This window comes from Homo sapiens, chromosome 21 (genome assembly GCF_000001405.40).
Source record: "Homo sapiens chromosome 21, GRCh38.p14 Primary Assembly".
In the NCBI taxonomy this organism is placed as follows: Eukaryota; Metazoa; Chordata; class Mammalia; order Primates; family Hominidae; genus Homo; species Homo sapiens.
Window position 1 is genome coordinate 35,500,274 of NC_000021.9, and position 14,652 is coordinate 35,514,925.

General features: G+C 40.2%; 1 long non-coding RNA gene across 1 annotated transcript in view, besides 2 other annotated features; it reads right to left on the reverse strand.

Annotated features, from left to right (window-relative positions):
* LOC100506403 (uncharacterized) overlaps positions 1–14,652 on the reverse strand; it is a 208,258-nt gene that overhangs the window by 127,767 nt on the left and 65,839 nt on the right. The window lies entirely within an intron of this gene.
* Positions 6,082–6,671: an enhancer, noted in NCBI's record as "OCT4-NANOG hESC enhancer chr21:36878653-36879242 (GRCh37/hg19 assembly coordinates)". NCBI's record gives its function as "activates a minimal SCP1, AML or CMV promoter by ChIP-STARR-seq in primed H9 embryonic stem cells {active_cell/tissue: H9 hESC(primed)}" and the evidence as "EXISTENCE:reporter gene assay evidence [ECO:0000049][PMID:30033119]".
* Positions 7,915–8,435: an enhancer, noted in NCBI's record as "NANOG hESC enhancer chr21:36880486-36881006 (GRCh37/hg19 assembly coordinates)". NCBI's record gives its function as "activates a minimal SCP1, AML or CMV promoter by ChIP-STARR-seq in naive and primed H9 embryonic stem cells {active_cell/tissue: H9 hESC(naive and primed)}" and the evidence as "EXISTENCE:reporter gene assay evidence [ECO:0000049][PMID:30033119]".

Here is a 14,652-nt window from a genome sequence, read left to right on the forward strand (position 1 = left end):
TTTTAAAAAACATATAAAAGAACTCTCTTCTCTCTGTCTTCTCCACCACATTCCGTTTTTTGACTTGTTCACATTGAGCTAAACATATGGGTAACTGGGCCTCAGTAGGATCATTCCTTCTTAATGTCAAATGGAAGCAGAAATGAATAAATTTAATATGGAACCAGGACCACCATTTTGTGTGACTGTAGTGATTTCCAACGAAATATTTCAATGCTCTTCATTGCTGCTGAGATTTTCATAGCTTGGAGCTTTCTAGTCCCAATTTATCTCATGCATTTCTATTCCCTAGATTTTTTTTAAAGTAATATGAAGTATTTAACCCTTTCCTGACCCACATCCCTTTCACCTCCCCATCTAAAATGAAAAAAAAAACCCCAGGAAACAGCCAGCTAGAACAAACTCTGTTCTTTTTTATTATCGAAAACTATCTTACAATTTAGGCTTCCTGCTCTAATTCTATATGCACATTTCCAGCTTTCTGATTAATCTGCATTTGTGGATCAGCTGCCAGTGCCTGATAGCCCAAGTGCTGAAAAACTAACTGATTTTCCTTTTTCACTCCTACCTCTGTTTCAGTTGTATAACCAGTGCTCTCTTGCTCTCTCTCCCTCTCTCCCCTCTCCTCTCTCTCCCTCCCTTTCTACCCCATCTCTCTCTGGTCTTCTTTACCCCCACCTCCCATCCAACATTCTATCAATGGCTAAATGGTTAGTTCCAAATACATGATATCTCCCTAATGGATCTACCATTTTTATTCCCACTGGCAGGCCATGCCCCTGTCTGCTAGGCTAGTGCAGTAACCTCCCAATGGCTAGCTAGCCTGGAGTCCTCCTCAATCTCCTCAACTTCCATTCTGCTGCAAGTGTTAGGATTCTAAGAATGGTATAATCTCAAGCTTTTCCATAGATCCCCTGCTCCCCATACCTACTGTATACAAAGCAACATCCAAATTCATTAACCTGGCACCAGAATCTCTCTAAATTCCTTTTTACTTAATCTGCCATCCTTGCCTTACATATTGTAGTGGATTGATTTGGGTCCCCAGAAACGATATGTTCAAGTCCTACCCCACCAGGTACCATGTGACCTTATTTGGAAATAGGGTCTTTGCAGATGAAATAAAGTTAAAATGAGGTCATACCTGAGGTGGGGCCTAAATCCAATGACTGGTATCTTTATAAGAGAAAGGGAGGCTGATTTGGAGGCAGAGATATGAAGGAGACCCAGGGAAGAAGGTTGTGTGATGGCAGAGGGAGAGATTGGACTAACGCAGCTACAAGCAAGGGAAGATGCCAGAAAGGACCGTCCCCCAGAGGCTTCTAGCCTGCAGAACGGTAAGAAAATAAATTTCTATTGTTTAAATCACCCAGTCTTTGGTATTTTATTATGTTTATGACAGCCCTAGCAAACTAATAAGCCATATTTTAAAAAGGAAAAAGAAACAATTGGAATTAATTTTAGCAACATATTATTGGCCCAATATAGCCAATATATTATCATTTTAACATGTAGTCTATACAACAACTATTAGTCAGATATTTTACATTCTGTTTCTGGTACTGTACAGAGTCTCCGAAATCCTTAGGCACCTCCCAAATTCCCTTCCCTTCCCAAGACACTCAGCCTTGTCTCTCTGTTTCTCCCAAGTGTCCAACGTTTCAGGCACCCCAGTGAGTGAGATGGAGTCAGTGAGCAACAAAACTTAACATCGTGTCGACTTGTGTGGGATTACCTGTAATTTAATGTTTACTTTTTCTAGTAAAGGTTAAGCTCTACAAGGGCAAGAACCAAGTGTGATTATTTTACCAAAGGGGGCATTGATATTTCTTGAATGCAAGAAATAATCATTAAATGAATGAATAAGCTTGATCTTTACAGCATCGGGCAAAACTGCATATTTGACAGATGGCCTGTATCACATTGTAGCATAATAATGGCTTTTCCATAAATGAGTTTCTGAACTTTCCATTAGAACTTTAAAAACGAGGAAAGAGGATCTCAGGTTAAATTTTTTGGTATCTCTCCCAGTACCTCATGTCATCCAATATGCATAGTAGATGCTCAACAGACTATAAACAAAAAGTATTTGAAGATATGGATTGCAATATTTTTTGTCTATTTTCTCACCCATTTTGTTATTACAAATAGATGTGAGCAAAAATAAAAAAAAGAAGGGGAGAAAGAACGGGACTCCAAAATGAAATGGTGGCCACTTACTTCTTGATTTGAGTGGAATTTCTTCCAGACATTCAAATGGCACTTTAACTAAAATCAAAGCCTGTCAAATGTGACTGCAGATAATCCAGATTATTCCAGGTCTGTGCAGTGCTCACTACTTACATCTGACACCTTCAGACACTTTGTCCCCACTCCACCCAGCAAAAGGCCAGTAATTACAGACTACCTCCTACCTCCAAAAAGTTTGTCTTTTAAATTAATAGACTCTAATTTTTAAAAAACAGTTTTAGGTTTACAGAAAAATTGAGCAGAAACTGCAGACAGTTCCCAAAGACTCCCCCCTTGCCCCAAGTTTCTTTTTATTAACATCTTTTATCAGTGTGGTACATTTGATACTGATATTGATACACTACTATTAACTAAATTCCAGAGTTTACATTGGGAAGCCTCTTTGTGTCCTGTATTCTACGGGTTTTGACATATGCATGATGTCATGCATCCCCCGTGATGGAATAGTGTCACTGCCCTAAAATTCCCCTGTGCTGCATTTACTCACGCCTCCGTGTCTCCCTCCAAATCCCTGGCAACCAAGTATGCATTTATGCAACTATAAAAATGCAGGCTTTATGCAAAATACTATGTAACTACCTTCTAATTTAATATTGACTTTTCCCCGGGAAATCCAAAGTATTGGAGATTTATCATAAGTGATCTTTTCACTGTCTCTATAGTTTTGCCTTTTCCAGAGTGTCATACAGTTGGAATCATACAGTGTGTAGCCTTTTCAGATTGGCTGTTTTCACTTGGCAAGAAGCATTTAAGATTCCTCCATGTCTTTTGTGGCTTGATAGCTCTTATCTTTTTATTGATGAATAACATTCAATCCTATGGATTATTCCAATATATTTCATCACCTACTGAAAGACATCTTGGTTGCTACACATAAGGATGCTATAGACGTTTGTGTGCAGGGTTTTGTATGGACACAGGTTTTGAGCTCATTTGGGTAAACACCAAGGAGTATCCTTGGTGAGTCTCCTGGTAAAACTATGTTTAGTTCTGTAAGAAACTGTCAAACTGCAAAACGTGGTTTTGATTGCCATTATCATTTTGTCTCCTTTTTTTGGAATAATGATGTTTGAGAGTTAATCCAACCCAACTGGTCGTGTTATACCCACAAAAATAAAGGCTTCAGGGTAGAAGGAAGGGCAGGGGAAAGAGAAAGGAAGAAAGTGCATGTGAGAACATAAGCTTCTCAGGATTTTCAGCCAGTTTGTCAAGGGGGAGGGTTTCCTGTTTTTCTCCTCTGTGTTACAGACCAAACGTTGCTGGTCTCATCATCACAGACAAATTAAAGCAGCTGCCAGCACTGCTGGGAAGTCCTAAACCCAGCAGGCAGCTTCTCAGTTGCAGAGACACCTTTTGACAAATTCGACTCCTCCAGGGCCTGTTTGGAGGGAATGTGTGAGCTGTTCAGCTCTTGGGGCACAGCACATAAACCAGCAACAAGCGTCTTCTCTGCATCGTGGTTGACATGCATTTAACCGGTGAATCTGAACCCACATCTGTTCATCCCCATAACACATGGAACATGCTATGATTGTCAATGCCAAAAACCTGAAGTTCCAAAAAGCAGCTCCTGAGAGTTCCTTTCCTAAACAGTCTGGGGCTAAACCCAAAGCATGTGTCCCTTGGTGAGAGAGGAGGAGTGGGCTATACTCTCAGATATGGGGCCATAATCTTAGAAACTTCCCTGCCTCCCACCTCCACCCTCAGCCGCCAACATTAAACAGGAATAACATCGGAAACCAAAGGAGCCACCCAGACAAAACACAATTTATAATATTTTAATCACTACTGGGCTAGACAAATGTCTTCCAACACAAACTTCCCACACATCCTCCATTCCTTTTATTTTACTCCCACGAATCCATAAAGTTCCTCCATGGAGATATTGCAAAACCTTTGTGCAAACGGGATATAGCTTCCAGCTCTTTGTATGATTTCGTGGGAGCTTTGGTACAAAAGAGTGGTTTAGTATCTTGGAAAGTCTCCTTCCAAAGAGAAATGGGATGACATTGCACATTTAAGGTGTCAATCTAAGACTAATTTGCAAGTGACACCGCTGTACAGAGTATGTCAGTGCTAGAAGCGTAGGAACCTGGGTGGGATCTGCAGCTGGCTTCTGCTGAAGCGAAGTGTGTGTAAATTTGGAGAAAAAGCTCAGGGACTATGCATTTCAGTTCTCTCTTCTCTTGTGAAGGAACTGCCCTAAGTGTTCCTCTGAAGTGTATAATAAACTGAAAAATTTATTTACTTATTTTTATCAGTAGACGTCAAAAAGAAGCCTATCCTTTATATTAGAGTTAAAATTTGTACCTTTCTGTACCTGGAAAAATTCTCCTGATTTTTAAAACAGGTCTCCATACCTTTTATAAGCCACAACAAGGCTTCTTTGGAGGCAAGCCACTGTCTGGTGGTCTCAGACAGAAAGAATTCTTGCAGTAAGCCAGGCAAGCAGTACATATCTAACAACATCTATTCCTCCTCTTCTCCCTAACTTAATTTTTTTTTCTTTTTTTTTTTTTTTTGCCAGGAGCAAGTATCAAAGTATAGAGCCTTCAAAAGTGCTCTGGATTCCATTACAAAGAAAATCATGAATAATGCATCCCCACCTCCTGCTTTTATTTAATCTCAATCAGTGAGAGCTAGAAGTGCATTACTGTGTCCAGCTGCATCCCTGGCTCCGGAGGCTGGAACCTGGGGCTGAGGGACCCACAAGCCCCACAGGTGCTGTGCACCGCAGAGCCAGTTAACCAGCAATCCTGCTCAAGCCCCGGGAGACTGTAGCACCAAGGGCTCAACCCTTCCGGATGTCTGGCTTGCCATGGATGGTTCCTATACCTAGGGAGCTGCAGAACCTACTTTGAAACTGACACAGCCTGTGTATCCCGGGGTTACATCTCCCTTTCTCTGTTTTAATAAAGCTGTATTCCTAATAAAAGGAACAAACAGCCTATCCCACATGCTGAAAGATCATGACGAGAAGTCTGCCCAGTCTGTTATGATTCGATGTCCCATAAGCTAAGTCCCTCTGCACTCGTGCACATTGAGCACGAAATATAGGCAAATTGTTATTTCTGTCCATCAAGAGCAAATTATGATGATAGCTGGCTTTTGAATGTTAGAAACTATAGTGTTTTTCATTTCTGGGAGCACATCTTGTGTGTCACTATGTGCTATGCCTTTATGTTAAATAACATGTTTATGCTGGGATACAAAACAGTACGATGGCCACATAAAAAAGACTTCATAAGGTACATACATATGTCATATATCAACATATTTTAATTAGTGTAAGTTCAACATATAGAAAAAACAGCTACTCTTGGCTGGATGTGGTGACTGACTCCTGTAATCCCAGCACTTCAGGAGGCCAAGGCGGGTGGATCGCTTGAGCGTAGGGGTTCGAGACCAGCCTGGGCAACATGACGAAACCCCCTCTCTATAAAAACAATTAGCCAGGTGTGGTGGTACACGCTTGTAGTCCCAGCCACTCTGGAAGCTGAAGAGAAAGGATCATTTAAGCCCAGAAGGTCAAGGCTGCAGTGAGCCAAGATCACACCACTGCACTCCAGCCTGGGCCCCAGAGTGAGACCCTGTCTCAAAATTAAATAATTAATAAATAAAATAAACAAAAAGAAACAGCTACTTTTTGTAATTTGGAATCAGAAGTTTTATATAAGATAACACTTTTGAAATAATCAGGAATGTAAATTTATGTAAATTTAGCTGGGACTCTGTGTTAACATCTTTTTCGTTGTGCCTATTTTTCATGTTTTGCCATGCTAACATTTGCTATGTGCCCACACACACACGTGCAATTCTTTTCTACTCTATTAGCCTCTGGTTCTGTATGTTTCCATCATTAACTGAAGCATTTGCAGAACGAAATGGAGGTTTAGCACTTTGAGAGTTGTTTTATTTTTACAACCTTGGCAAAGCAAGTGTCATTGATTAAATGTCTGAATTCCAGGAGAGAGAAACTTGGCAGATTTTTGCTAGGATGTTGGACTGGTCCCAACCAAAGTAGAGATTGCAAGCGATGGTTCTTATTTTAATGTATGCTAATAGATATCCTGTGGCTTGTCATTGGGTCTCCAAGGGAAAAACAAAAAGAGTATGTGGTGTATTGGGGAGAAGGATAATAGTCTCTGCGTATAGGGTGGAGGGAGGAGGCATCCTGAAGATGAGCAACTGCTTCATTCATTTTTATCTCTTAGAGTAACATGTGCCTGTGTCAGTCCTTAATAACTCTTGTTCCAGAGTGTCCCCAAATCATTATTCACTTGTTTCACTAGTTTTGGTGAAAAATGATGGATCAAGGCTTCATCCTAGCTTGAGATCATTTTTGGATGCTTTTGCTGTTTTGACACCGGTATGTACAGCTGGATCCAAGGAGATACCACCCTTATATAGTTTCACTGCAGCCCACACTTGGTTTTGATTAATTTATTAACCCAAGATGCCCCTGGGGAGAGGGGGGTTACGGGAAACACCTTGAATTCTTTTGTTTTAACATTTCAGCATTGCTATTCATAGAAACTACCAAGCCTTTAAATCCCCTATCTGTTCTTGCCAGCAAAGTAAAATATGTTTTTAAGTGTTTGAAAACAAGGGAGAGTAAATGTGTTTTAAATGTATCACACACACACACACACACACACACACACACACACACACACACACACACTTTTGCCCATTATTGTTCCTGGTCACTTCTTACATCCAGAGGCTGAGAACTTAGACCTGCCCTCTGACCTCCTAAATTATCAGAGGTGAAACTCCCTTTTAAGCAAGATCTATATCTTGGAGAGTTTCCTCTCCCTCCTTGCATTCCCCAGGCCCATCTTTTCTACAAAGTGCTAGAGTGTCAGTTTTATGGGATGTTGAAACCTTCCCAGTATAAATTCTACCCGCATTATTCTTTTCAGGAAGGCTCTACAAACATTTAATAATAAAAGTGAAGTGGGTGCGACTCTTAGTTAATAAATACCTCATCTTGTGGGAAACATGAAGCCTTGAGCATAAAACCAGAGCTATCTTTTCATCTGGGCCTGTCCATCATCACAGTGCCCAAGTGCTTAATTTAAACTGCCACTTCGCCAAAAACCCAACTGGGCAGAGGATGCACTGTTCATGCCAACCACCGTAAGGCCAAATTATTCTATTTCTAGCAACAATCACCTTCCTCAGGAATCTATAATTTTCAGCTTATGATAAACCTTCAATACTTTGGATTTCCCGGGGGAAAGTCAATATTAAATTAGAAGGTAATTATATAGCATTTTGCATACAGGCTACATTTTTATAGTTACATAAATGCATACTTTATTCAAAGAGGTGTTAACCATATGTGTCCCAATTCAGTTTCTAACAAATTTCCTTTCACAAAAAAGATAAGAACTTATAATGGTCACGTAATACAGATAGGTTGTTTTAAGAGGTATGAGAAATTAAGTTGAACATCTTCTGGATATGTGCCTGATTTTGTTTGCCCAAGTCTTACCCTTTGAGCAGATGATGCAAACTATATATTAGTGACTTAGGAAATAATAGTATTTTATTATAAAATTAATAATTGGTCAGAAAGGAAACATCTGCCAATATCATTCTCCTTCAATGTCCTTCAATTCTGAAAAAATAACTCAGATGACATTTTTATTAATACTTAAAAACTGATACTTAAAAAATTCTTAAAAAAACATAATTACAGTCTGAAATATAATAGATTCTCAAAGAAAAGTACACATTCTCCTTTCCTCTTCATTTAGCATCTGTTGTTGGCCAAACAACAGATGACGCCTTGCCTTCAGGGTAAAAATCTAATTTGCATGTAGGCGCTTGAATGAAATTAAGCTCCACAAGGTGTGAATAACAAGGGGTGGCCTGCTCTAGTGACAACAGGCAGCTCTTCTCAAACAAGGACGTTGAAAGCTTGTTAGTGCTAACTGAACTACTTTGCAGCGTATATCCCCATCTGGAGGCCGACATCAAATTTGAGAGTCACAAAGAAACACAAAGGTCATTGTGGCAAACCAGGGCCGTGGCATTGCACAATTCTAGCCAGAGGCCAGACTCCTCAAAGTCTAGATGAATGGTGCCCCCTGGAGCTGTGCAGTGCACAACGTGTGCATCTGGATAGGTCAGTCCTGAGGCCAGCCGACTCATTTTATAAGGCAAGAAACTGCAGCCCAAAGAATATATATGCCTGGTTGGAAGTTAAGCAATGAGGCACATTTCAACTCAATATGAAGAAAACATTTTTGAAACAGGAAGCTGTCAAAGATGATGTTGGTTGACTCAGGAGGTAGTGAGGACCAGTTACAGGACATTTGCAAGCCTAGGCTGCTCTACCATCTGGTATGGACTTTCAGAGGGGGCTTGAAATTAAGGTGTGGGTAGGGGCTGGCCTCCATAGCTGTTAAGGTTTTTCCCAACCCTCAACTAAGGAATCCATTGTTCAAACACAAGTCTTCAGGCTACTGAGCACCAATCAAGGTATGGGGACCCTGAAAGGCAATAGAAATCAAAAGATCTATTTTGAGAGGGCTCTAACTTAACAACAGGAGGCAGCAACATCAGTGACTTTCTCAGCTGCTACAAAAAGTAAACCATCGTCAGACACAATTTTCCCATTCTCCCCCCTGCACTTGCGTCATACCCAACTTCCCCTTCCCCTCAACACTGCAGAACTTACTGATAACTAAGCCATGTCTACCCCTCTAGGAGTAGTTCAAGAGTCCTGGTAAAGACCTAACAGGAAGTAGAAATTACATATGAGCAGCATGTGTGTGTGCATGTGTATGTGCACATGCATGTGTGTGGTATGTATGTACACGTGTGTGTGTGTGCATGCACACACTGCATGGGTGTATTTCCTTAAGCCTGCTTTACAAAATCAAAAAGTACTTCCAGCATCCATATTAAGGCTGTCTCCAGCACTGCATGCCATTGACATGCTGTAAGTCACATAGAGGATGAAACCAGGGTTGGGCAGTCAAGAAGGGGCATTTGTAAGGGCTGGTGGCATGACGGCTCCCATCTGTTCTCTCACTTTCTTCAGAAGTGAAAAATTAGCCCTGGATGGTGTTTTATGAGATACTGAAACTAGAATTCCCTTAACCGCATTCATAAAACTCAAAAGGCAGGGTAGCAATTAGAAAGGTCATGGTTTTTTGGATCTTCAGTCCTGAGTTCCAATCCAACCTCTGCCACCTTGTACTGTGAAACATCGCCGAGTCCAATTAAAGTTTCTGAGCATGGATTTCCTCATCGATAGAACAGAGAAAATACCTTCTGCTGCACAGGGTTGTTGTGAGAATGAATGAGATAACACAAAAGAAACTGTGCCTGGTACCTTAGAAAGACACAGATGCAGGTGGTCATATTTCAAACCCACAATTCCTTCTTCCTGATGTCAAAGCAAACATGAGCAGAAAGAGTTGTACATGAAGAGGCATGGCTCTCTCTTTAGTAATTTTCAGCTTATGATAAATCTCCAATACTTTGGATTTCCCGGGGAAAAGTCCATATTAAATTAGAAGGTAGTTACCTGGCATTCTGCATAAAGCCTGCATTTTTATAGTTGCATAAATGCATACTTTATTCGAAGAGGTATTAACCATATGTGTCCCAATTCAGTTTCTAAACTACATTCGGTCTGTCGTGGCACTAGTCCAATAGCATTCCCAGGACTTGTTCATGAGCCAGCTTCACTCAGGCAAGGCTTTTCCATGTTTTGGTTGCCCCCTTTGAACAAAGCAGTCAACTTAGTTACATTATTAATGAAAATATCTGCACTTTTCCCCAAATATCAAACTGTGTGGTTCTTCTGAGATGCACACTGAAGAAATGAAGCAAATTCCTAGGTAATTCAAGCACAAACTGAATGGAATCCTCAAATTTCAGGCAAAGGGAACACCTTAGCATGAATCACATAAAGTAGAACCTTGCAAGTGTAGACAGGCTTATGGCATCCTATGCCACCTATGTGAAGTAGGAAATGCAAAAGGAGACGAAAGCCATCACCCCAGAGAAGCAGCTCATTCACAGTACAACGATGAACTCCAAAGCCAAATGAAATAGCATTCCTAAGCTTCCCATGACACAAGATTTCCTATCATATTCCTTTGAGTACCAATGAGGTAAATTCTCCAGGAGAATAAAAGATGCAGGGGTTTGTGGAATGTGCTATCCAGCAGTCCCACCCAGGGGCACTGGGACAGGACCCACAATGGGGCTGTCAGGCAAGCTCTCTGTCTGTCCAGAAAACAGGACCTCGGTGAGCATGGTTTTGGGGAATGATGTAGATGGTATAAATATCAACCAAGTCACATGACATCACTCCTCCCAGATCATTCTACTCCTCTCTCAGCACCCTGGCCTGTAGAGAAAGAAGAAAGAGTCGCAGGAGGAATGAGAATGTATGACAACTTTGAGGACAAGGAAAAAATACCCCAAATAAATGTATGATTGCATGTGGCCAAAAAAGAACAAAAATGTTGAGAAGGTTTTGTCATGCATGGTAGGTAGGTTCCATTCATTTACCAGGGCAGGAAAAATGTAAGTCTCTATGATCCCCAGGAATGCTGCTTCTGAATTGAGCCCCTGGGAAATTTTCTGAAAGTGCTCCAGCACGTTGTTTCTCGATCAACTTAGTACGCCCAGTGGTGGTCTCTTTACCTCCCCCAGGAGATCTACAAAGAATAGATAATAGCAATGTTTCACCCTGCCTCGTACCAGATGTGTGGCTGCAGGAAATTTGCATGATCTACCTAAGTCTTAGTTTTTCACGTTTGTAAAGTGGGACTGATAATACTTACTTCAGGGCACAGTTGTTGATTGATAGAGGGTGTGGGTGGGCTTGGCCTCCAGAGTATGTCATATATAAATCAGTCTTCATTTAGGGGATTTTTTTCTCCAGGATCAACTTTACTCTGTAATTCTCTTTGCTGTTGTCACCCTGCCCCACCCAGTCCGCCCAATTCTGCAAATAATAGACTTTCTTTTTCTGACTCATGATAGAAAACTTGAGACATACAGGAAACTATGAAGAAGAAAACAAAAACCTATACTCCCACAATCCAAAGGAAACACCAGTAAAATTTTCTTAGGTATACTTCCAGTCTAAAAAAAATTTTACAGCTAAGCTCCCATTATTGATATAACTTTTAGGTTCTTTTCTTTTCCTATCATTTTATTATGACAGTTTTCTCTTGTCACTATAACTTTTGTTTGTAATGTTATCTGCGGTTTTTGTGTGTGTGATTATAAAAATGATATACTTTGCCTGGAGGTCTTCTTGTTTCATGACAAGTAATGAAGCACCTATAATTGCCCAAACCCATGATGGCCAAGAGGAAGGGCCAGCTCCCAGGATAGGAACAATTATAAAATGGGACTTGGGAAAACCTTTCTTGGTGAAGCCACGTGGCAAGTGTTTTAAGGGCTACATAAATGCAATCAGCAAAGACGCACCATCTGAGTTCCCACACCAGCTCTGAGATGGGGCATGAATATAGACCTGTGGGTCATTGAGCCCTTGCTACAAAAAAAAAAAAAAAAAGAGAGAGAGCGAGCTCTGGAAAAGCCATGTAGCCCACTAGGAAGCTGAAATGCCTGAAGTATAGCTAAAATGCAGTATTCCTGGTGTGCTTATGGTAGGTATGGTTCTGTTATACAGGAAAAAGTATAATTTTAAGGAAAAGATGAAAGGAAAGCAAAGAACATGATCTGCAAGGGCTAGAAGTCTTCTGAATAAATAAGGACTTTAGAAACAGCCAATGGGATAAAATATTCAGAATGTAGAAAATAATAGTCATGACCAAATTATTTCAGGATAATCCCTGAAAAAAGGATGTATTTTCAATTGTATTTTTCTATACACATTTTAATAAAAGTTGAATCATAAAGCTTATCCAACTCTACTCCTGCTTTTGATTTTGCATGTGACTACAAATTTCTTACTCACTCCATTAAAATGACTGCAAAATATTCCAGCAAGAGGATGTACCAGAATTTATGTCATTGTGTGTATGGTTGTTGCATAATTATAAACATCTCAGTAATAAATATCTATGCTGACAGCTTGGTTTTAGCTTCTTGTTATTATACTTCCAAGGAATAGATACCTAGTAGGGGAACTCTGAGTGAAGAGTATCAACTTTTTTATAAGATTTTTACTATGCAAGACCATTTACGTTTCAGAAAAATCATTTCAATTTCCACCTCCCTTAGCAATGACAGAGCAAGTCTACGTGGGCACACCCTTGCTAACAATGGCTTAACCAGGATGGATCTTTGCTAGTTTGATGTACAAAATGCCATTATGGTTTAAATTTGCATTCTTTTTTTTTTTTTTTTTTTTTTTGAGACGGAGTCTCGCTCTGTCCCCCAGGCTGTAGTGCAGTAGCGCGATCTCGGCTCACTGCAAGCTCCGCCTCCCGGGCTCACGCCATTCTCCTGCCTCAGCCTCCCGAGTAGCTGGGACTACAGGCGCCCGCCGCGACGCCCGGCTAATGTTTTTATATTTTTTAGTAGAAACGGGGTTTCACCGTGTTAGCCAGGATGGTCTCAATCTCCTGACCTTGTGATCCGCCCGCCTCGGCCTCCCAAAGTGCTGGGATTACAGGCGTGAGCCACCGCGCCCGACCTAAATTTGCATTCTTTAATGTGATTTGATTTTGATTTTGATTTACTTGGGATTTGCTTGAGAAACATGTTTTCCCGTTTGCTTACTGCTATTTGAGTTTCTCCTGTGACTTGTCTTCATAGCTTGTACCTATTTTGCTCCTGGAATTTCCATGCCTTTCTTGTGAATTGGTAGGAATTCTTTACATAAGGATGATTGCTAACCACAATCTATCTGTTATATTTGAAGCAAATAATTTTTCTAGTTCATTTGCCTAGTAATGTTTATAGTATTTGTGACACTCAAATGTCTTTGATTTTTATTATCTAATAGCTTTTGGGTGATTTTTTTCTATTAACTTATGCTTAGAAAAGTCTTTCCTAATCTGTTCACGAGATATTCACTTCTATTTTCTTATGCCATTTTTGAAAATGGTTTCATGGAGTGTTTTGAGAAACACTTTTGAGTTTAAGAATTTCAGAAACCAGAATTTCCATTAGCCACAAAAGCAGTGTTGGAGAAGTGTGACTGTTGCTGCCTGGATTTCAGAACTATGAGACTGTCATTCATTGGTTGATCTTTATAGCACATGTGCTCAGATAGTACCATCCAAGGTTGGTCAGGGAGGGCTTAGAACTGGTTCTGGTGACTACATCATCCTCTGTTCAAATAATAATCATTTTCCCTTCTTGAACTGGAAACATGGAAAATTTGTATTTTCAGTATCCATCCATCTCTACCTCTTCCACATCTCCCCCACTTTCCTGTATTTCTATTAACTTCTCTTTCACATTGCTTTATATATTCTCTATTTTGTATCTATCTACCTTCCCTATTGACCCATCTATCTATCTATCTCTTACCTATCTACTTACCATCTTCCACTGATATCTAATTCTTTAATGTCTATGAGCCAATATTCTATATTTATCTTTCCATTCATCTATATCTATTTCATTATTTCATCTCTATATTTCCACAATAATCTAAAAAGGTGTCTAGAACTTTTTATTATCATTCAGATTTCTACAGTGTTGATTCTGTACTTTATCTAAAGTGGGTTTTAATCCAACGTTTGCAACTTCTAGTTTCCTTGCAAATCCGCTGCATTTTCCCCACCTCTCACTTCATATTGGCCTGCATCTTAACCAGATATTCCTTTCCATTTTAGTCTGTTACGTTCTCACTTCACTTTTAAATTTTATGTTATGAAATTCATATTGTCATATCTTATATTGAGAACACAAAACAGATGCTTTGTAAAGTTTTCCTGCTGGTGATAAAATGTTTTACTTTAATATGCTTTATTTCTGTGCTATGTGTTGAACTATGCCCCCCTCCCACCCAATTCATGTGTTGAAATCCTACTGTCCTAATGTAACTCACAATGTGACCTTTTTTGGAGACAGAGCTGCAGATACAGTTAGTTAAGATGAGATCACATTGGAATCAGAGGGATCCCTAATCCAGTATGACCAGTGTCCTTATAAAAAGGGGAAATTGGAACACAGACACACAAACACGGAGAATGTCAGTTGAAGATGGCTGCCACAAGCCAAGGAACTTCCAGAAATGGCCCTTCTCTAGATCCTTCCAAGGGCACATGGCCCTGCTGACACCTCAATCTCAGACTTCTAACACCTCCTGAAGCCCTGGATGTTTCTGGACTACATCCAACTACAAGGCAATAAATATGTCTGTTATTTAAGCCACTCAGTTTGTGGTACTTTGTTAAGGCAGTCCTAGCAATATACCCTGTGTCATCTTTTATGTTTTGA